General features: G+C 37.3%; 1 protein-coding gene across 9 annotated transcripts in view; it reads right to left on the reverse strand.

The window, feature by feature from the left end:
- Positions 1-8,655: 8,655 nt before the first annotated feature.
- PDE1A (phosphodiesterase 1A) overlaps positions 8,656-24,737 on the reverse strand; it is a 576,757-nt gene continuing 560,675 nt past the window's right edge. For all 9 annotated transcript variants that reach the window (XM_047444688.1, NM_001395258.2, NM_001395259.2 and 6 more), the window contains 2 exons: positions 15,651-15,767; positions 8,656-11,653 (listed from right to left, as the gene is read on the reverse strand). In XM_047444688.1, coding sequence (XP_047300644.1) covers positions 15,694-15,767 — 74 coding nt within the window. In that variant the 3' untranslated portion in view covers positions 8,656-11,653; positions 15,651-15,693. The remainder of the gene's footprint in view (positions 11,654-15,650; positions 15,768-24,737) is intronic.

The raw sequence follows: 24,737 nt of genomic DNA on the forward strand, positions 1-24,737 counted from the left end.
GATAGAGAAGAAATTTAACCTGATTTCTATTAAATTAAGCACAGAGAAATAAAACTTTACTAAAGGGCCAGGTGCAGTGGCTCAAGCCTGTAATCCCAGCACTTTGTGAGGCCAAGGCTGGCAGATCACTTGAGGTCAGGTGTTTGAGAATAGCCTGGCCACATGGTGAAACCCTGTCTCTACTAAAAACACAAAAATTAGCCGGGCATGGTGGCATGTGCCTTTAGTCCCAGCTACTCAGGAGGCTGAGGCAGGAGAATTATTAGTCCCCAGGGTGGCTAGCAGGGCCTAGGGAAGCTGGAGATCCTGGGGTGACTGTCCCTGGCAGAGCTGGAGGTTGCAGTCACTGTCCCTGGAGTTGGAGGTTGCAGTGAGCCGATATCGCGCCACTGCACTCCAGCCTGGGTGACAGAGCGAGACTCCATCTCAAAACAAAACAAAACAAAAACAGAAAAACACTTTACTAAACAAATACCTCCCAAAGTTATAATTTCCATATTCTTGTCTGTTAGGGAGAAGCCAGGTGAGAACAGAGGAGGACATCCAGAGTAAACTGGACACAGTAACAGAGGTGAGGAGGTCCTCACAAAGGGTGCCTCCGGTGAAAAGAGAAAGATAGCCAGAGGGAGAGGACCCGAGGGAGGGCAAGGCCAGCTCCTTCCCTCTCCCTCTCTGGCCACACAACTTATTCTTAGCAGCTTCCTGTCCACTGCTGCTAAGTCATTTCCACATGAACGCGTCTTTTGCACCATGGCTATTTTCCTTTTGCCCCCATTTCTGTCTGAGGAAAGGTTTGATGGTGATTTCAGTGTTGACACACTCGACTTTTAGACTGCAGCTGACTTACCATGCTTGTTGAATGAGTCTGTTCCTCTCACATGGACAGTTTCCACTTATGAAAAGTCCCTTCCTTTTTCATTTCCTCTGCAGAAAGCTTGTTTTGCTAATGAGGAGTCCATGAAATTGGGGGAGTTTGCTGCTGTGTGTGTGTGTGTGTGTGTGTTTGTGTGTGTGTGTGTATGTGTATGTGTACATAGTTTTCCTCTTTGAGAAATTGCTATTGTTGCTTCTCAGTGCACCTGGATGTCTGAAGATATTTTTTATTTAACGAGCTGTCTAGGAAATACAAAGGTTACTGTTATTTTATCTTTATGTTGATATTTTTCTGTTTAATATTTGCATTAAAATTGTTCCCCCAAATAGAATATCTACATGATATAGCAACCAGTGAACAAATCAACATATCTACCTACACATATATATATAAATCTATATATTAATCTCTCTCTGTATCTAATTAATATATATGTATAATTTAGCCTTCCTCTCAAGCAAGGACATAAGTGGTAAATTAATGATAATATAATCTTTACTATGGAATGGCTGGTCTACTCTGCATGGAGCAACCTCTCCATCATGTGGACTTTTAAGATATTGCTACTAAAGTTAAAGCCATGCTATGCTCTTGAAACTGTAAATATCAATTAATTTTAAAAGAAAGGGGTGAAGCTCTAGGTAGGTTTTTATTTGTATAGCTCATATTATTTCTGTTTTTCTATGTGTCAGGTGATATTCTCAGCACCTTGTATAGAACATTTCACTTAATCATTCCAAAAGTACCTATTAGATAGGCACTTTAATTATTTCCATTTTATAGATGAAAAAATTTAGGCTTGTCCAAGACCACAGCACTGGTAAGTGACAAAGTGAAGTCCAAAATTGAACTGAAGGCCAAATTTCATGAGCTATCTTGGGTGAGATATTTCTTGCCTCAAGTCTTCCACATAAAATGTAACAAATTTAATGGTATCTGGATAAATACAAAATAATATTATTTTCTGTTCATCAAGGGCCAAAAAATGGGTCAGATACTGTCTGGACCCTTTAAATATTCTTTGTCATTATTTTACCATTCTATCAAAGTATTAATGGTTAAGAAATGTCTTCAGATTAGAAAATGTTACAGTTAGCAGCTACCAACCACCAATGACTAAGAATTAGTCATTATTGTTCTAAATCCTGTATGGTTCCCATTATTAATCGTCAAGGCTGTAGGAAATCAACTAGGAAATGTGAACTTTTCTTCTTAGCAAAGTTTAGGATTTGCTGTTATGAACATATCTCTACACCAGCAGACCCAACTCCCCAAGCATACAGACAAGAGAGAGATGAAGAGATCTTACTGTTTCTCTCACATAATTCAGGTTTGCTTTTAGTATGCTATTAAGAATTGATGCACTCCCCATTTGTCTGCTCTGAGAAAAAAAACATAAATGGCTTTTGGGATTTTGCAGATCTAAAGTGCTTGAAAAGTGGGTCTTATTTTGACTAAATTAACTGGAGATGTTATCTGAAAAGGACTGACTCAATCACATACCAAGCAGGACAAATAATAATACACTTTTCCTTCCTGCCTTCATTCATTTATTCACATCCATTTATTCCACAAATATTTACTGAACATTTACAGTGTGTAAAACTCAGTGCTTTTTTCCCTAAAAATCTAGCAGCAAGTGTATGACAGAGAGCTGCAATTCTTTCGCACAGAGGGATAGCAGATCAGTGTTCATCCAAAGAGGAGATGGAGTTCTGGTTAGAGGAATGAGAAGAGGCTTTGCAAGAGAGCAGGCAAATGCACAGATCCTTAGAGGAAGAAGGGACAGGGACAGGTAAAGATGACAAAGGGAGCAGCAAGACTCAGGTAGAAGAGGCACTCAGTGCAAAGGCATCAGGAACAGTGAATACTGTAATGAAGGCTAGACTGAAAATGGGCTGGGTTAGGCTGTGAGGGGCTTTGAAAATTATGCTAAGGAGTTTAAGCTTTACCTGCTGGCCAGTGGCTCTCAAAGTGAGATCCCCAGTCTACCAGCATTAGCTTTGCTTCAGGCCCATCCCAGAACTACTGAATCAGAGTCTCTGGGGATGGGGCTTAGACTTCTGTAGTTTAACAAACCCTTAAGGCCATGTTGATGCATGCTAAGGGTTGAGAACCAGTGCTGTAGCCAGGCCTTCCAAACGGATGTGTGTACTGGGAATGAGTGGCAGGTGTGCTGGAGATAGATAGTGACATTTGCAGTCCTCAGGGTGGCTAGCAGGGCCTGGAGAAGCTGGAGCTCCTGGGGTGACTGTCCCTGGCAGAAGCAGCCTCATTCTTTTTCCTAGGGTACCAAGTTCTTTGACCTGAAATAGTAGTGCTGTGCAGAGCAGGCCTGTGGGCCAAATTTGCCATGTAGCTGGTCTTTGCATGCTCTCTCCCCACCAGCTAAGAATAGTTTACACTTTTAAATGGTTGTGAAGGAGAAAAGGAAGAGAAAGGAGAAGGATCAGAAGAAACAGAAGGAGGAGGAGAAGAAAATGATGAAGGAGGAGGAGAAAGGAAAGGAGAAGAGGGGGAGGAGGAGCAGCAGGATGAGGGTGGTATAATGGTATGTGGCTTCCAAAGCCTAAAATATTTACTATCTGACCCTTTACAGAAAAATTTTGCTGACCTCTGATGTAGACAAGGAGAAATTGTTTTTAAGAAAAGGAGCAATATTTCCAAAGAATTCATTAGGGAGATTTAGCATAACAACTGTATACAGAAAAGACTAAGTAAAAAGAGCTGGAAAGAGAAGCCAAATGTTCAACACAGGTAAAGTGGTAAAGACTTAAAGAATGCAACGCTCTTTGATTAGAAAGAAGAAATGAGTCTATAATCCTTATAGAAATTATACGCTTTAAATTGACCCAAGCACAATGCCATGGCAAGGTTCTCAACAGCTGAAGAAATCATAGATTCTCTCAAGTTCAGCAATCTCTTGAAGTTTGGTTTAGTTTTGAAAGAGTAAAACGATGCTGAGGGCATGAACTCTGAAATCAGAATCCCAAGCCTGCATCTTCCAGGATGGAAGACCATGAATGCATTGCTTCTCCTAGCTTTGTCTCAGTCCTCCTCTCTATAAAATGGATATAACAGTAATATTTATCTCTTAGGATTGCTGTGAGAAATAAGTTGGTAGAGACACGAAACTTAGAACTTAGCAGACTTATGTAAGCACTCAATGAATTTTAGCGATTACATGTTCAGATATAAAAACTGTAATTACTTTTGCACCAACCTAATAGGTTTGCATCACATAGCCAGGAACAAATGCCAATATAAATGAACAAACAATAGCTAACACTAAGGTACATGAATCAACAGGCTCTAAGTTCCTTACCTCTATCAATATACTTACTTCTTGCAACAATCTTAAGAGGTAAACCCCGAAAGGCTTCAGGAATATATAGCTGCCTTCAACTTAACAAATTCAATCAAAAACAGTCAGGCTATGTTGTGTGCAAGCCGTGTTAGGCTATGGGAAAACAAAGTAACAAAACATAAACCCCTGACCCCATGGAATGTCTAGTCTACCTTGCAGACTAAGTGAAGAATGCTATGTAGATGCTATCTGTAACAACAACAAAATGGAGTTTGTTTACAAATAAGAGATTAAATGCATATTACTTTTGTAATCTGAGACAGATATCATTCAAACTATCATTTAAAAGGCGCTGTAGCTGTCACTTGCTTCTGTTTTTCAGTGGGAAAATTGTGATTTCAATGAGTGGAGCAGGAGTTAGAAAACAAGGAGTTTAGAAACTTGAAATCTCTAATTTACTTTATGTCTTTTTTTTTTTTTTTTTGAGATGGAGTCTTGCCCTGTCGCCCAGGCTGGAGTGCAATGGCGCTATCTCCTCTCACTGCAAACTCCACCTCCCGGGTTCAAATGATTCTCCTGCCTCAGCCTCCCGAGTAGCTGGGACTACAGGCACACACCACCAAGCCTGGCTAATTTTTGTATTTTTAGTAGAGACAGAGTTTCATCATCTTGGCTAGGCTGGTCTCAAACTCCTGACATCATGATCTGCCCACCGCAGCCTCTCAAAGTGCTGGGATTACAGGTGTGAGGCATTGTGCCCGTCTGAAATCTCTAATTTAATATTTCATCTGAAACCACCAAGTTTTTATATGCCCACACACACACTCATACACACAAACACACACACATACTAAGGTAAAATTGATTCATGCTTGATGCACAGGTATATTCTTAATTCTAAATAGACATTTTTATTTTCACTTGTTCATATGCATGTATGATATTATTCATCAGAAAATCAATTTTTAATAATGAACTCTAGTACACTTTAATACCTTTTAGAATGAGTACATTAAAAAGGACATATTTTATATCTATATTTAAGTAATAATTTAGAAATGCTAAGATGGAATGCCAATGAAGTTGAGGGTAAAAGTAAACATTTCATCAACATCCAAAGTCAAGGATTTTGAAAAAAAAATTTTTTTAAGGAGTATGTGATCTCTAAAAGATAATTTATAGGATCATATCTATAGAAAAAAAGTTTGACTTGGAAAAAAAATAGATTCCTGCTCTTCGTATAAACTCTCGCTCACTACAGATCATAATATTAATTTTTTCTTCCATACGTATGAGATCAGGAAGATTTTATATATATGTGTGTGTTTCTGTGTGTGTGTGTGTATACACTTCAGCTGTGTATTTCAAGATATAATATCAGTTAGTGGCTATTACTATTTACCTTCCAGAAGTTTATTAAACATGCCTTGGGTCACTCTGTTATCTTAAAATTTAAAATTACAGCACATAGATTAATACTACAGCCCCTCGATTTTGTACCTCCTCACAGGTTTAGTTCCCATTACCTTTGGAGCATCTGACTTCTGAATAGGTTGGTGCACGTCTACCTCTGTGCTCTGAAAGCAAGAAACACCTGAAAGCATGACATTGCCACATTAGTAGGGCTTTCTGAGCCTGGCTTTGCCTAGAGAAAAGCTGAATGTTGTGAGTTTTGTATTTATTTAATTTAGAAGTCCTTCAGTCAGGGGAGGTTCCTGAGAATCCTGTGCATGCTTCAGCCTCTTCAAGGTGCAAATCCAAAACAGAAAATAAGACACCCAAACAAGAAACAATTACACTGTTGGTTGGCTTATGATGGGATGTAAATACAGGACCCAAAAAGACAGAAAGTTGTACCATATGCAGAAAAATTTGCCCAACCAAATTCAGTTGCCCAAAGCCAATGCTTCTTCAGTAAACCAAAGAACAAATGTCGTCTCACACACTGCCCATCTTTTTCCTTTTCAGTTCTCCCTCATTCCTACTGCCTAAAACGAATCTTTTCTCACTGTGTGGCTCACCCCACAGTTTCAGATGGAATGAGGTCTCCCAGATACCCATCCTGCACACTCTCTGGGCTTATGTCACTGTGAAAATACACCCAGCTCCCTTTCCTTCTGTAAACCAATATCAGCTCCCTGTTTTCTTTTTGTTTTCCTTGGTATATTATGTTTCTGAATTCAGATGGCTTGCTGCTTCCAAAGTTAACACAAACCCTTTTCCTTCCACTCTAGGCTTGGCAATTAGCTCTAATGTTTAATGTCCTCTCCATCACCCTACCCCATACATTTCAAGCGTATTCTCCATAACTTTTTCTGTATTTTAAGGTTTTAAAAAAAGCTGACAGATAAGAGTGAAACACATCAAACTATGTTTTTAGGTTAACAGTTATGTATTTATCACTTGTGCAAGGTAAAGTTGCCTTTGTACGCTATATAATTCAATTGCAATATTTGATAGGCCAATGAAAACAGGATCAATCAACTATGTTAATGCCTCTTATGAAGAATTTTGCTTTCAAAGATTTTTTTTGCTCTAAAAGCCATATGGTCATGCTCACACATTTAATGTCTTTTTTCAAGTCTTAATGTCTTTCCTCCAAGTCCTCCTCTAATTATTTGTGTAAGGAACCACATTTCATCAATACAGATACATACACTTCATTAAATGACGCAAGAGCCTGAACCTTTAGCCTTTGTTCCATGACGTTTGCTGATAGATCTAAGGAAGGGTACAGTAGTCAAAAGTCACTTGTTAAGAACCTCTACTGTGAAGAAAAACAACCTTGTATTTAAGTGGCTAGTAGGTGCTTAGAATAGTATGTAATTACTGTCTAGAACAGTGATTTGTATAGAAATCACCTAGTTATCTTTGTAAAATGCCAATTCCAGTTTAATAGAAACCTGAGATTATTTTTAAGAAGTTCACAGGTGTGGACCACATTTTGAGTAGCAAGTGTAGAGTGAGGACCAGTGGTTACTTTTGAAAAGGACACTTTACAGTCATATATTAAGTATGGAAAATGGTTTCTCCCATCCACAAAAATAAAAGACACCTTTTCTACAGTAATACGTGGTTAAATTGGTCACCAAAGCACACACCGTCCTGCTGTTGGTCACTGAAAATTCTTCCCTCTCATAGTGATAGTTTTTAGGGACAAGAGCCTGCAAAATGGAACAAAGAGTAAAAAAGGAAGGTAATGAATATCATAAGCAGAAAAAAACATGACAGATCCTACTCCAGTGGCCAGAGGCAATCTAGCCTAGTGGTTTTGAGTCAGACTCCCTTAGACTTCAGATCTGGTTCCTCTACTTACTAGTTGCTTGACCTTACACAAATTATTTTACCTTCCTCTGCCACACTTCCTTACCTATAATAACGAATAATAATGCCTTACAGAGTAGTTGTAGGAAGTAAAAGAGATAATGTAAGAAAATAATATAATGCACTAGTATGACTACAATAAACTAAAACTACATGATTATACTCTTTAATTGTCAGAGATAAAAATATATCAACTGAGATGCAAAGGAAACTCTCCAACCTTCACACATATTAAGCAAATTACCTAGAAATTAATTAATGTTATTAAGGAATAAAAAGCCCCAACTAGAGCTTTAAACATAATGTTGGCCCATATATAGAAAATGTATCTTAAATATTTACAATTACCTCCAAAGAAATGATAAGATTAATGTAATAATGCAGGACATTATTAGGTGTTTGCTTTTTAGACTCTAAAATATACATTGTCTTTATTGTCCAGGACTTGTATTAAATGGTAGAGAAGGTTTGCCGTATTTAGAAAAACATTTAAACAGAGGACAGAAGGCTTAATATATTATTGCTTCCAAAGGAAATATGTGTTTTATATCTAAATTATATTTCTAAACATAAATATGGACTTTCATATTTAAAATATAGCCTTTGAAAGCTTTTTGATATTAGGTGGAAATTTATCATGTAATCATACTTAAAGTAAAAAATTCAGCTAAGTGTCACATATTTGATGACCAGTTAAGTGTTTACATCTTCTTCTGGAACTCATTGGCTTCATAGAGACACAGCCTAAGGTTTCACACATACCATGCCAGTTACTCTTAATTCAATTAATTGAGACTCACTGGGTCTTCACCTTGATTCAACACTCTTTGCTACTTTATTCTTCTCTGGTGTTGCCTTATTCACGTTGCTCTTCTTCACAGACCCTTTCCTTCTGCTGTGCTTCTGCCCAGCCCCACGTGGATGTTGTAGAAAGAAAACAAGGTGCCGGAGAAACACAGAACCAAATCCAGTGTGGAGTCTGCCAATGGAGACCTGCATGGCCAATGGAGACCTGCATGGCCTTGGACAAAGCTTTTTCTCTGAGACTTGGTTTCCTTTGTTCATATCAACACCACTTTACTGGATTACTGTGAGGATTTGAGATAATATTGTTAAGCATTGACATGGAGGCCACACATGGAAAATAGGCAATGTTTATAAACTTGTTTTTATTTACTAAATGCCAACTGATGCACCACTTAGTCCTGAAAGCTCTGAAGACAGAAGCAGTTTTTTACCTCCTCAAATATACATAGGTGCATTTTATTTGCAACTGGTTACTTTTTTATGTGGCATTCTAGTTATTAGGTATAAATTACAGTCTGTGTAGATTATCTCCTTTATAAGACTTGAAATTTCTAGAGGAAATATTGCCATATGCATATATGCACCATGCTTCCAGCCAGGAGCTTATGAATAATAGGTATAATAATAAGTAATTCAATCAGTATTTATTTAATGGAACAAAAAGCACTTTCTTACCAAACTCATATCAATTTTTAAGTTGGTCTCCTTTGGGTTTCCCCCAATTTCTCCAACTTTTCAATGCCTCACTAAATTGAATTGCATAAAACACCAAATGTTTCACAATGTTTTCCCTCAAATATGATTTATTTAGCAATCACATGTAATAAGAAACACAGAAAAATACAGCATAATAAAAACACAAGAATTGTAGGTTGTTATGTTAAAAATTAAATAAAAGAGGTTTCGGTTAAATGAAAAGGCATATAAACTGCAAGATATATATGTTGGGGAGCTGAGGTTAAAAATGCAAAGCAGGACATTCACGGTGCAACAGCCTAACCTATCAATCCCTCTCTTCAGATGGCCTCAACAGTAATGTTTGCAGAAAGACATGCACAGATAACCTCCACTCTGACTTTCTACTAATTAGTGCTCAGTAGTAGCTGTCTTACAGAGAGGAAAACAAAGGAAGGAATAAATATAAAAGCTTAAAAGAAAAAGAAAGAAAAGGAGGGAGTATAGCAGATAGAGAGAGATTAGGAAAATAAGTACAGCAGTAGCATGACAATACTTCTGAAGGAGTAAAACTTTTTTTTCTTTTTTTTTTTTTTACTGTCTCTGGAAGTTTGGTCACAGTGCTTTATAAGTCGCATAACCTGGAAAATTAGGTTAAAGCCCATATACAGAAATTGATGAATTCTTTATATTCCTCTACTTTTTAGTAATAAGGTCTTATAGATCTTAAAGTACTAATAGAAACAAAGTGGATATGCTTCCTATGACATTTAAGAAGTAGTATTTCTATTTACTTCTTTGAGAGATTCTATAGCTTTACTGAAAGACAACTGGCTCAAATAGGAACAATAGTAATTAGACTCCCCAGATAGATTCTATTTTAAATGCATGATATTTTCAAGCTGGTAAATAGCTTGCTTTAAAAAGACATTAAAAGCAGTAGTTACAGTCTCTCCATAAATAGAAATAAAAAGTCCATTTGAAAGGACAAAAAGTAACCATGATGTACATATCTATAAATGTTTTCCCCAGCACATTATTATAGATCAATCTTACTCCTTACATTTAAAAGATCAATTACCTCATAATGTCTATAATACAATTCAATTATTTAGCTGTGTTTTGCACAAGATTCAGGTGAAACTAAAGCTAAGGATCTATTCACAGAACAATTAAAAGCATTTATACAGCCTACATCCAAATATATCTTAAATTACAATGATGCATAATAAATATGCATATAGAATATGGCTTACACATTAAAAGAGATCTAAGTTGTGAGTTATAAAATCTCACCACTCAGGCTTAAAAGCTTCCAATTGTACCCTTTTCTAAAATATTGCTTAACATTGTGGAGCCCAGGAAGGAAGCAGATGCAGCAGAAAACTTGTTAGGATGCATGGATCCTCCTTTGCATGATTTAATTTATGGCTACTCCTGATTCTTTCCAGCCAATTTTTACCTTTCACAAAGATAAATTCACTGAAGCTCACAATCATTGCAATGCTTGTACAGTGAAAAGTTACAACATCTAATTGTGCTTGATCTTTCTTGTCAGCTAACAATGCATAAAGGTAGTTTTTCAGCTTTAAGCAAAGGAAAGACTTTGCACATGCTCAGGCAAAACATGACAAGGAAGCAGGGCCTCTGAGGGCTGCAGTTTGTTTCTGTGTAGTAAAATATAAAAGTCACATCAAATAATGTTATCTGTACAGAAAAGTGTGGGTTTTCATTTTCATAGACATTTTTGAACACACACACACACACACACACACACACACACACATTCTTGTCTCTTATCTCTTGGCTGGTAATATATTTTGTTACATTCTGATGGGATAAACATCCCGCTGGCAAATTTCATTTTCCATTCTAGTGTCTGTCTCCAGCAATGGTTGACGGTCTTGTTATCATGAACTGTAGATAGCATGTGACTTGCTTGTAACCACAACCATGGAGGTAATGCATTCGTGCTTTGAAACCATGGGGACGGACGCAGGCTGGTCCACGGGTTCAGAAAAAGGTTTCACTGCCATTTCCCAGTATGAGAGTTTACAAAGGTGTTCATCAGGTCACCTAGCTGGGGATCTAATGCTCCATTGTTGGACTGTAGCATTGCTCTGATGCTTCAACCAGCTCCTCAGCATCCCACCTGTCATTCTGTTCCCATGCATTTAAAATAAGAAGGACAATCTAAATAGTATATTCCCCAGCACAACAAAAAAAATTTTTCAATAATTTTGTTTTTGCTTCCTTTTATTTAAGACCTTGAAAAATTTATAGTTATAGCACTCTGTGTAAGACAGTGCAAGGAAGTAAATTTTAAAATACCTCATCTTCTGCACATGTATTGCACAGTCATTATGACAGGGTTCAAAGCAAGAAAAATTAAAAACTGTCTGACTTTTGTCTCAAAAATTTATCTGGCTTGATTGAAGAAGGCCAAATTGTGGAGGGAAAAAAATGGCAGAAGCACTGGCCAAAAACTCTGATAAAAACTTGAGTGTATTTATTTGGCCAGAGTTACTAGCTCAAAATTTATGTTCTTCTTAATTCCTTGTATAGGAGTCAATTAAAATGGCCCAATCCAATTCTATGTTGAAAGAAGAGCCATAGCTTTGTGGAAAGTTGAGAATTTAGGATGTTTTCATGCTGATTTCATTGTCCTGAAATAAAATCCAAATGAAAATATGGATCAGAGAAGAAAGAGTGGGAAGTGGTTGGGCGCATGCTAGTCAAAGAGTACAAAATTCCAGTTAGATAGGAGGAATCAGTTCAAGGGTCTACTGTAAAACATGGTTACTGTAGTTAAAAACCAATGGATCATATTCTTGAAAACTGCTGCTAAGAGAGATTTTAAATGTTCTCCCCACAAAAAGAGATGAGCATGTGAAGTAATGAATATGTTAATCAGCTTGATTTAGCCATTCCACAATTTCAAAAAAAAACATGTTGCACACCATTTTTATTTGTGAATTTAAAAATAAATAAATAAAAAGAAAAGAAAACATAGAAACTGAAGGTCATCACTTAGTCATACACAGGTATCAATTACTGTGTGGCAATTCACATTGCACTTTACATACCTTGTCAAAAATAAGGGCTTTCTTTTTTTAAAAAATTTTAATTAATTAATTTATTTTATTTTATTTGTTTTTTGGTGAGACGAGTCTCACTCTGTCGCCCAGGCTGGAGTGCAGTGGCGCCATCTCGGCTCACTGCAAGCTCCGCCTCCCGGGTTCACGCAATTCTCCTGCCTCAGCCTCCCGAGTAGCTGGGACTACAGGCGCCCGCCACTACGCCCGGCTAACTGTTTGTATTTTTAGTAGACACGGGGTTTCACCGTGTTAGCCAGGATGGTCTCGATCTCCTGATCTCATGATCCACCCACCTCGGCCTACCAAAGTGCTGGGATTACAGGCATGAGCCACCGCACCCGTCCTGGCTTTCTTTACTATCTTTCTAATAGATAGTGGTTTTACATCAGTTGGAATTTCTCTTCCTATTTCTGCTCTGGGTGTGTGTGCGTGTGTTTGTATGTGTGTGTGTTCAATTCCAGTAAAAACTCTGGTTCTCTAGATCAGATAGGCATACGGGCCTGTCAGGTAGTGTAAATGAGTTAAGTGGGCCAGTGTGAGTGTAAAACAACTAGACTCACAGGGACTGTAGTCAACTAAAGAACATAAGCCCTGCCTAAAGATATTCCAAAAGATATTTTAAATCAGTGTGAAAGTCCAGGCAAGTCTACTGACTAAATACAGCAACAAATGATCAATTTTGATCTCTTGTTGGATAGCACACTCAACGTTAAAGAGTAGACACCGGTCGTGATAGGGAACACTTTCCTCCCAGTGGGTAACAGGTCTGATAGTGGCTTGCTTTGGAAATGCCAGAAATTCCTGACATATCTTTCAAGAAAGATAATGTGATAAATGATATGCCATTAGCTTTTTAAATAATAAAGCAGCCTGGGATTATATATCCAACCATTCCATTTTATTTCCTTTAATAAACAAAAACACAAAAGAAAAATGTAAGCAAAACAAAACACTTTCGTGGTCTAAAATCTCCTAGAAATGATGGCGAAATTATACAACAATGTGAAAAGTAGATTTGAAGGGTTTCTTTCTTGTCCTAAGTGTAGTGTTGCACATTGATTTATGAAGTCTCAACACGGCACAGATTTAATTAGAGCTCAATATTTTCTGGGAAATTGCCTCACAGTGGGACCTACACATTGAGAACAAAGCAGGTAATGGCTTTCAGAGACATGGCCAGGCTGCGATAACATCTACACTTTCTGTGATGGCAGCCAGCAAAGAATTAGCTATCAGTCACAAAGAAGGTGTGCTAAATTTGCAACAGAAACCCTGCATGCCAAATCTGACCCTCAGATATATTTTTCTCTTGTCCACAAAACATTTCAAAAAACTTTGGGCCAATAGGAAAAATTGGAAGAGTTTACTTTAAGAACCTTTCTTAACCACTAGAAACAGCTGGCAACACTGGGCCCTTACTCTGCCAGAGTAAAAATCTGCCAGAGCCAAAGAGTGGCTGACTGTAGCCTTCAGATTGGGTGTGCTGTGTCCTCTCTGTTTCCAGGACTGATCACTGCCTGTTGTCTCCCAGACACCATGCCTGAGTCACAGTTGCCAATCGTCACCCCTCCTGTTGTTTTTAGACCTCACTCATTTCCCTCATTTAAAAGACCTACTTGTTTTGGGAAGCTATGTGAATTTCTGTCTGAAGTTTGAGTAAAGATATTCCAACAATTAAACTTTGCACCAATTAACTTTGACATAATTCCTTTAACATATACTGTAGGACTGTATCAACTCAGTTGCAGCAGAATTCTATTGAGGTTACATAATTAGTGAACATATAAAATTTATAAGGTGCTACTGAAGATCACATTTCCCAGAAGACTGTGCACCAAAGGCAGGGCTTTCTCAAACTGAGAAGGAAGCTAAATAATTTAACTGGCCTTGACAGAAAAAAAAAAATTGCCAAATCGTCTGCTCGGGCTTAAATATTATATTTACTTTGAGCGGGCCGCACACAAATGCAAAAAGGGGCCGGGTGCAGTGGCTCACGCCTGTAATCCTAACACTTTGGGAGGCCGAGGCAGACGGATTGCCTGAGCTCAGGAGTTCGAGACCAGCCTGGGCAACACGCTGAAACCCTGTCTCTACTAAAATACAAAAAAATTAGCCAGGCTTGGGGGTGGGTGCCTGTAGTCCCAGCTACTTGCGGGGCTGAGGCAGGAGGATTGCTTGAACCTGGGAGGCAGAGGTTGCAGTGAGCTGAGATTGTGCCACTGCACTCCAGCCTGGGCAACAGAGCGAGACTCGGTCTCCAAAAATAAAAAAAGAAAAATGCAAAAAGGTACTTCATATACAAGATGTTCACCACAGTGCCTGACACTTTATTGTTGCTATTCACAAAACTATTCTTATGAATAAAAGACAGTCTAACAACTAACTGTCTTTGTAACTCAAGAATATTGAGGAAGAAATTATTTTAAAAGCGAATCACATTTTAACACTTTCATATCTAAAGTAACAGCTGTGGAACTAATAATAACATCTCTAAGGTTTGGAATGGTACCCTCAGCATTTTCTCTTGCCCCAACCCACCACCCCCATAACAGGATGCGTTATAACACTTGGATTTTGTTCTTTACTTCTTCTTATTTTTAGTAGATATTAAGACATCTCCATTGTAAATACACATCCCTCCTTTCTAACTGCCCATATCTCCGCCATCGGTTCAAGACAGTGGTTCTCAATTTTAGTGGACAGAAATATCAACAGACTGGCTTATCAAAAATTCAAATTTTCAAGGCATCACTCCCAGAGTTAATAATTTGGTAGACTGAAAACAAGCCCTAGAAGCTGAATTTTTAAAAAGAGAACCATAGATGCACATGTTCACAGATTTTAAGGAACATGATATTTGCTTTATAATATGTACTTGCTTTGTTTTAATTACTGGGTATAAACATATTTTTACATGAAATAAAACAAGAAATCAGTCTAAAACATTTATATTTCTTACATGATGTGGAAAAAGAAATGAGGATTAAACATCCCCATGAACGTATTTATTATTGTTATTATTATTATTATTTTGAGATGGAGTCTTGCACTGTCACCCTGGCTGTAGTATAGTGGCCTGATCTCGCTCACTGCAACCTTTGCTTCCCAGGTTCAAGCAACTCTCCTGCCTCAGCCTCCCAAGTAGCTGGGATTACAGGTGCCTGCCACCACACCCAGCTAATTTTTTATATTTTTAGTAGAGACAGGATTTCACTATGTTGGCCGGGCTGGTCTCAAACTCCTGACCTTGTGATTTGCCCGCCTTGGCCTCGCAAAGTGCTGGAACTACAGGCATGAGCCACTGTGCCCGGCCATTTTTAAAATTATTTTTAAAGATTGAAAATTTCAGTTCCAGTAAATATAATTTTTGTTGATTAACAAATTAAGAACTATTTGAAAAGGTAAATATTTAAAGTTTACCTGTTAAGATTTTGTCTCAAAGGATTGATGATAGAGATTAAAAAAACTCTAGGAGGGCATTTAAATAAGAAAATTTCATCCATAATGGTATTCTGCAAACCATTTACTTTAGAAGTTAAGTTTCTGGTCTATAAAATAAAATTACCTCTCATGTTTAAAATGACAGAAGTCTTTAAGGTGTTTCGGGCCTATGAATGTGTCTCATCATGTTTTTCTTCAGCATTTACTAAGTCTTCTGAGTTCTTATGAAGATCAGATTCACCTAAAAATATAAGGAAACAAAAGCAAAACAAAACAAAATAAGGCTTTGGAAAAAACTAATAAGGTTAGGAGACTGAAGAACTTTATAAAATGTTGAAGACTGAATTTTACAATGGATTTTGTGGCACATTTTTTCAAAGACACCAAACATCTTCCTTTCAGCCTGTGGATCTACATAGTATAACAAGCTATCTTCTGTTGGTTACATAACTTTCTCAAGCTGTGATTTAATATGAAAATACAGAAATAAAATAGATGAAACATGTTTAAACATCTATTAAATCCCATGTAAAAAATCATGTTTTTTCTGAATATTTTTTAATTGGAACAAATTCCTTTAACTAAACCTTCTAATGATCAATGTTTTTTAACCATACATTGCTTAGTTGCTATGAATATTTAAAAATGAGTATGAAAGGATAGTAGTGTTTAAGATACCACCTGTCAAGACAAACTAGTCTTGGAATCACTCAGTTTCCATATAAACTTTCAAGAAAAATAAAATATTAGCATGGAAAAATCTTTCAACATTTCTGGAGAGGTTGTAGAGAATCTATGAAAATAGAAGTATAAAGCAGAATGTTTAGATGAAAGAGTCTTATTACATAAGCAACAAAGTAAACAAAATAAACAGAAATTAATTTTTGAGTCAATTACTTGAAATATCTTGAGAGTTCAGGAAATAGTCATATACAATGAAAGTTTCTTTCTGTCTGAAGTTTGAGTAAAGATATTCTAACAATTAAACTTTGCCCAATTAACTTTGTTATAATTCCTTTAACATATATTGTAGCATTGTATCAATTCAGTTGCAGCATATTTTTGTTGAGGTTATGTAATTAGTGGACATACAGAATTTATAAGGTGCTATTACAAAACAATTTTGTCTTTACGATATGGAGGGTTGGGACTTATCTTCTCAGCCAAGATCAAAATTTCAGGTAGTCTCATTACTTTCCTGATCATTCTTAGAGAACTAAAAACATCCTGTGATCACATTAAGTTGCCAAAATCTCAAATCAGACAATAGAAGGTCTGGTCTCATGTAATAAACATCGTCAAACAAAGATAAGACTCCTTTCCCACCTTGTTTGTTACAGAACCCAGAAATGTTGCCTGTGTGTGTGGAGGGGGGTGGGGTGTGTATGGTTGATGTTTCTCTCATTTCTTGCTTGCTCTCCCTCCACTGGCTACTTTGGACTCCTAAGCATGGGAGAGAAGAAAGCTAAGAGGAGCAGCAGTGTTGTAGGATGGCTTTGCACTCACTAGACCTGGCAGGCGTTTACAGCTGCCTTTATTTTCTGTGAGCACAGTCATGGGCTCTTAACAGAATTCTTGCCAAGGACCATGGCTTTTTACCAGGTTGGTAAGACCCATGAATCTCTGGCTTCTTTACAATGTCCACAGCCCCTGGAAATTTGCTGGTACATTTCCAGCTTCTGTCTGCTGAGGTCCCATCAGCTTTCCAAATGTGGGTGGGTACATTTGGTTCACATGACACACTCTTGAGGCATTTGTTTCCATGAATGACTGGAAGAAAAGCTGAAATCTACACAGCCGTCTCTCCTTTGGCTCACCTGCCACCATTTAACTCTTTAGATCTCTCAGGTAGGAACTAGATTCCATTCTCAATATCCTCTTAACTTCAATCTCTCCAAGGGTCTTGGTGAAGTTCTCCTCCCTTAATTTGAGGTGAAGAAGGAAGCATTTCTGCACATTTCCCAATAGCAGAGAAGTCTTTAAAGAAATCATCTTCATAAATCTTTTTTTTTTCAAGCTCAGTGACCTGAGCTTTTCATTTGTTTGAATTGGGAAAGGGTTTTATGCATCTTATTACTGAGTTTTGAACCTTCTTTGAAATTCTTGTCTCAAAAATCAGTTTTTTTCTGACATTTATCATGTTAGAGTCTTGGTTTAAATTCTGATTTAATATTCTGTTACTTAAGACTAGATTAGAACAGAACAGAACAGTCTAGAATAGAACAGAACATAGTAAAAAGAACAGACTGAATTACAAGAAAGAAATAGAAGTAATTAACTAATTCACTGGTTCTCAAAATTTTTTAGAGAACTTTTTATAATGGGTAAAGGCCATTACTAAGGTCATCCACCACCAAATTATTTATCTTATTTCTACTGAATAAAGAAATCAGCAGTAATAAAAGAGTAAAAGAAAAAGAAAGTAATCAAATGGCAACAAGGCAGCAATTATAAAAAATAACAAATCCCCAAATGATACACATATTATACCCAATAATAATTCTGTACATGTGATTAGCAACAATTAAAAACTATGATAAACTCAAGATAAGAGTTTCGTAGCACTGAAAAAGGGTCTTCCTTGAAAACTAAAATTCCAGCTCTTTTCAGGAGTAGACACGCAATTGCCAAGGAATTTCATGACAGCCAGATAGCAGAGTCCTCAGCAAATCCAAATTACATTATTTTAGTTGATAAATCTTTAGTTGTAGACGCCTTTACAATTAACTTGGGCAGTACTGCTTGTTAGTGACCCTTAGTACTTCATAAAAAAAGAAGTCATTCTGACATATCATTCTCCCATAAAGAGGAAACAATTTGCATTTTCAATCCATTAAAGATCATCTTAGATGACCTTTATGGCCCAAGAGTGTACCATATAAAGGCTTTGAGAAACACCCATATACCAAGGTTCCAAATGGTTTTGAATCATAGATCCCTCTTGTAGTCTGGTGAAGCCTATGGCCAGCTTTTCAAAGTACAATTTATAAATAAAATAAAACATATATGATTACTAAGAATTCTACTTAAAATACAGTTATCAACATATTTAAGTAAACCTAGTGATGTGCTATAGTGTTATATATGCTCCATTAATGCATTAAATTAAAAGGTCTAATTGAAGGTCTACCTATGTAGTTTTGAAATAGTGATATAAAATGATACTTCAAGGTCGCTACACTAAATATAAGTGTATAATAGGTATATAATAAATAGATATATAGTTCTATTGATGACAAAAATACCATAAATGTTGATGCGTATTCTTTCCTACAAATGAGGAGAATGATAAATTTCAGTTAAAGACTAGTAAAAAGAAATCCCTCTCTAAGTATTCTGACCCTCTCTATATAACTCTGGATTAAAACTTGATCTAGTCTAACTTCATTTTTCAGGCAAGAAATAGGTCCAGAATAATCGGTTGACTTTCTACAATGCAGATCATAAATAGATAACCTGAAGTCAAGACGGTTGGCTTTTAATTCACTGGTACTTCAAGAAGACCAGTAACGTCACTTTTGAATTTCATCTTACTGAAAGGATTTGCAATGTCATATATATAGAAAGCTGCTCATTAGGAATGAATGCAAGTGGTCTGTTCAAAGAAATTGCATATAAACTTGTTTGTCAGCCAGGAAAAACAGTGAAAATAAAGGAACATCAATAATTCTGTTCAGTTCAAAGAGTTTTAGGTGTTCATCTCAACCAGTTTCAAAAGTTCAAATCTAACAAAATAATTTGTAAAATGATAGAAATTTTATGGGTTTGGTTTGTAAATAGAGTCTCAATTCTTCAAGGAGCAGGGAGGGGATAGTTGTTATAGGAGAGACAGACTTACCAAAACCAACAGAAATCCTCTAAATTTAGCTAATCTAGGCTTTTAGATTGCAATTTAAGCTCACTTTTACCATATTAGAATCATAATGTGTTAGACTCATGGTGCTGTGAATAAGACTTGCAGGGAATTACACCAAACACACTATCAAGTGGATATTAGAGACTTTTGTCCTCCAGTCAGGGTCTCACTAACTATCTGAGAAATAACCTGTTAGGATAAATTATTATACAATTGAAAATATACCAATAATAATCAATACTTTGTGAACACCAACTAGGTGGCAGACACTATTCTAAGTGCTTCACTCACCTCACTTCCCTGAATCCTCACAGCAAACTTATTATTATTATTTTTTGAGACAAAGTTTTGCTCTTGTTGTCCAGGCTGGAGTGCAATGGTGCAATCTCAGCCCATTGCAACCTCCGCTTCCTGGGTTCAAGCGATTCTCCTGCTTCAGCCTCTCAAGTAGCTGGGACTATAGGCATCTGCCACCACACCCAGCTAATTTTTTTGTTTTTTGTTTTTTTGCATTTTTCATAGACACAGGTTTCACCATTTTGGCCAAGCTGGTCTTGAACTCCTGACCTTCAGGTGATCCACCTGCCTTGGCCTCCCAAAGTGCTGGGATTACAGGTGTGAGCCACCACGCCCTGCCCCCCTCACAGCAATCTTATAAAGTAAGGTTGAACAATTGTGGAAGCTGAGACATAGCTTGAAAACTATCTGCCCAAAGTCTTAAAGCCAGCAAGGGGCTGGATCCTCTGACAAAGGACAACCAGAATCTTGGCCTCTAGTTTGACTGTTTCCCAAGCTACAATCATGAGTAACCTACCCTCACCAATTCTGCTGTATTCATATGCCACCTGTCCTCTCGCTTACCTAATATTTTTCTTTAAATAGACTTTAAATATACTCCTTTAAAAATTAGTTTTGTTCTCAATAGTAATTTTCCTACCACAGAAATAAATTTGTTGTTCTTTTTGTATTTTTCTAATACCTCAAATCCATAATTAAAAGATCATTTCTCATGTAGATATAAAAAACAAAATGATTTAATAGCTTATTTTGCACTCGTTATTTTTGACTTATCTAGCCCAACAATCCCTGCATGTAAGTGGGAAAATCATCATTATGATTCTCATTTTAGAGATGAGAAAGACATGATTAGAGGGGTAGCTGACTATTCCAACGCAAAATAGCCTAGGTGAATTTGGGAGACAGAATCACAAGCTATTCCTCAGAGCAATGCCCCAGTTAATTTTTTAAATTTAACAGCAATAATAAATGGTGTTTGAAAAATACCACAAAATTGGTTTGTGCAGTCTTTTCAACAGAAATATTAGCTCTGAGTAACACTGCATTCTTATTTTTTCATAAGAAGAATATTACCTTTGCTATGTATAATAGTATTTCCTTAGGCATATCTCTAGGTTGCTTCAGCTTTACTTTTAGACCATTTATATAGTTTATGTTGCAGATAACTAGAATAAATTGGTGATCAAAGATTAAAGTTACAGTCATTGGAAAAATGTAATGTAGGATAAATCAGATATTCTGATTTTAATTGGTGTTTTGGCATCCATATAATGTAGTTTGCCTTACATGCTGGGATAAAGAAATCTATTTTAATACCAGGGGAAATACTTTCCCTATTTTTTTCCTCTTTTTTTTTTTTTTTTTTTTTTTTTGAGATGGAGTCTCGCTCTTGTTGCCCAGGCTGGAGTGCAATGGCATCATCTTGGCTCACTGCAACCTCTGCCTCCCAGGTTCAAGTGATTCTCCTGCCTCACCCTCCCAAGTAGCTGGGATTACAGGTACCTGCCACCAGGCCCAGCTAATTTTTGTATTTTTAGTAGAGACGGGGTTTCGCCATGTTGGCCAGGCTGGTCTTGAACTCCTGACCTCAGGTGATCCACCCGCCTCAGCCTCCCAAAGTGCTGGGATTACAGGTGTGAGCCACTGTGCCCAGCCTATTTTTTTCCTCTTAATTTTAATGCATTTGGAGAAGAAGCAGTTGTATGTGTTCGTTTACTTTGCAGTATGCGTGAAGGCAACAGTAAGAGAAGACAGGACTGCACACTAGGCAGAAGAAAAAGAAGGCTGTGAAAACAAAATTCCACTTAATTCCAAAATGTGCTAGCTCCAACCCTGTAAAATTAGAGCAAGTAATACCTTAAAGTGTTACATAAGACACAAATCAAGAAATAGGTAAATTATGTATTGGTTCATTAAAGAAAAACAGAAACATCTGATTTTGAGGAAAATACAACAATTTACTTTAGCAAGCTTTAGACTTACACCCAATGCATATGTGCTAGGCATCTAGATATGTAGAGAGTTTTACAGGTGATCTACGGAAAATGAAAAATTTATATGTATATTCATCTGCAAATCAGTGAAATTATACTCAACTTGGGGAAGCTAATACCTTGTCAGATAGCCAGAAATCTTAGTGTTTAAGTTACACTGAAATAGTTTAACAATGTGGGAGGTAGTTCAGCTGGCTCCTTGAAAGAGTTTTCTAAAATTGGGTCTGAAGGTTGTATATGTTTTGTTGGCACACAGGTAGGAGTATGCTGTTAGTGAAGGGATGAGGAGGTACGGTGGAGCCTGAGCAAAGGCAGAGGGTTGAAAAGAAAAATGATATGCCAGGAAAGAAATGAAGCCCAGCTGAGAAAACTACTGTGAGCTCCTACCCACTGGTTGAAGCAATTATTTCTCCATCAGAGTGTCATTCTTTTAGAGGAAGGCTCTGACACCTATTAAAATGTTATTATTCCTAGAAGGGAACTTTGTGACTGAATCGCAGATCTTCTTAAAAGAAAGCAGGCTCTGAGAGCAGGGAGATGATAAGAATGCACAGGCATTGATTGAAGGTAGAGAAGTTGGGGGTGGCAATGGAGAGAGAAGCTCTGGAGTGGTGAAGTTAAGACCATTCAAATCACACTTTATCTCTTGTAAAGAGTAGCAGGAATCAGCCATGGAAATGATCAGATTTGGCTCGTAGAGGCAAGTTGATGTGAAAGGCAACATGGGGCTGCTCTGATTTCTCAATTAGGATGAAAAATGGGGTGAAAATTGAGTCTGATGTTGGAGATACTGAAGGGTAGGAGGTTTGGAGGCAGGTAAGGGATGAGAAATTACTTAATGGGTATAATGTACACTATTCGGGTGATGGCTGCACTTGAGTGTGAGAGAAATGCCAAAAATTCACATATTCTTTATCTTTATAAATAGGACAAATTAACTGTAGAATATTGATTTTAACTATCTACCTAAGTGAGTTTCAAAAGCTAAAACTTGGAAAAAATAATCTGTAAAATGATGCAAACATTTTGGCTTTCCTTTAAATAATCTGAATAAACTATTCTGGTTGATTGAGTTTTCTTTGTAAAGCTGGATTAAGAAAACAAACAAACAACAACAACAACAAAACAAACTTCAATTGCCTTTAGTAAAAATGTCAATACATAAATCCATTTCTGTGCCTGAATGGAGAATGTTGAATATGATTGAATTTGTTTTGATGATGATAATCATGTAAAAACAAAAACAAAAAATCCTGAGGTGCATTGTTCTAAACATAAACCATTAATTTTCACTCTCCTATACATGTACACTAGATATATACGTGTCAAATAAACATGTATCATTCATCCTTATTATGAATGGCTCTAAGAAGTTGATATGGTTTAGCTGTGTCCCCACCCATATCTCACCTTGAACTTAATAATCCCCACGTGTGAAGGGCAGGGCCAGGTGAAGATAATTGAATCATGGGGGCAGTTTCCCCATACTGTTCTCACGGTAGTGAATAAGTCTCACGAGATCTGATGGTTTAATAAATGGGAGGTCTCCTGCTTCTTGCCTCTCTTGCCTGCCGCCATGTAAGCCACACCTTTGCTTCTCCTTTGCCTTCTGCCATGATTGTGATGCCTCCTCAGACATGTGGAGCCGTGAGTCCGTTAAACCTCTTTCTTTTATAAATTACCTAGTCTCAAGTACGTCTTTATTAGCAGTGTGAGAACAGACTACTACAGAAATCATTTAAAAAACAATTCTTAAATTTTCTGGTTTGTTACCATTTCTCAATTTACAAGTTAAAAAATTAATTGAAGGATCTACTTTCAATGTGGAATTTTATAACATAATACTACTACTAACAAATTATTTTTCAAGTTGCTTAACTTTAAGAATGTCAGAAAAAAACAAGGCATTCATATTATGTAATTTTACCACTTATCTGAAATCTCTCACCTATAATTTTTCATTGTTCTCTTTTTTTTTTAATGGGCCCAAACATGAATATAAAAAAATGTCCAATTTTAATTCTGCTTTTTTTTTTTTTTTTTTTAAGAGAGGGTCCCACTCTGGTTACCCAGGCTGGAGTGCAATGGTGCCATCATGGCTCACTGCAGCCTCCACCTCCTGGGCTCAGTTGATCCTCCCAACTTCAGACTCCCAAGTAGCTGGAACTACACAAGCACACCACCATGCCCAGGTACTTTTTTATATTTTCTGTAGAGATGGGGTTTCGTCATGTTGCCCAGGCTGGTCTTGAATTCCTGGACTCAAGCAATCTGCTCATCTCGGCCTCCAGTAGTGTTGGGATTACGGGCATGAGCCACCATGTCCAGCTGGGAAATTCTGGCTCTTTATGCAATAACCTTAAAATGATGTAATACACAACCACATTTATATTTTAAATTCTTCTATCTGACTAAATATGGACTAGATATATACATGTAGGATAAACATGTATAATTCATCTTTATAATGAATGGCTCTAGGAAATTGATATGGTTTGGCTGTGTCCCCACCTATATCTCACCTTGAACTATAATAAGCCCCACATGTCAGCCAGGTGCAGTGGCTCATGCCTGTAATCCCAGAACTTTGGGAGGCAGAGCCTGGTGGATCACCTGAGGCCGGGAGTTTGAGATCAGCCTGACCAACAAGGAGAAACCCCGTCTCTACTAAAAATACAGAAAATTAGCTGGGTGTTGTGACGCATGCCTGTAATCCCAGCTACTGGGGAGGCTGAGGCAGGAGAATTGCTTGAACCAGGGAGGCAGAGGTTGCAGTGAGCCGAGATTGCACCATTGCACTCCAGCCTGGGCAAAAAGAGAGAAACTCCGTCTCAATAATAATAATAATCCCCACAGCTCAAGGGCGGGGCCAGGTGAAGATAATTGAATCATGGTTGCAGTTTCTCCCATGCTGTTCTCATGGTAGTGAATAAGTCTCATGAGATCCAATGGTTTTATAAATGGGAACTCCCCTGCACAAGCTCTCTTGCCTGCCACCATGTAAGCCATGACTTTGCCATAATTGTGAGGCCTCACCAGCCATATCAATAATCTGTCTATATGT

The sequence above is a fragment of the Homo sapiens genome, chromosome 2, assembly GCF_000001405.40.
Source record: "Homo sapiens chromosome 2, GRCh38.p14 Primary Assembly".
NCBI classification, from domain to species: Eukaryota; Metazoa; Chordata; class Mammalia; order Primates; family Hominidae; genus Homo; species Homo sapiens.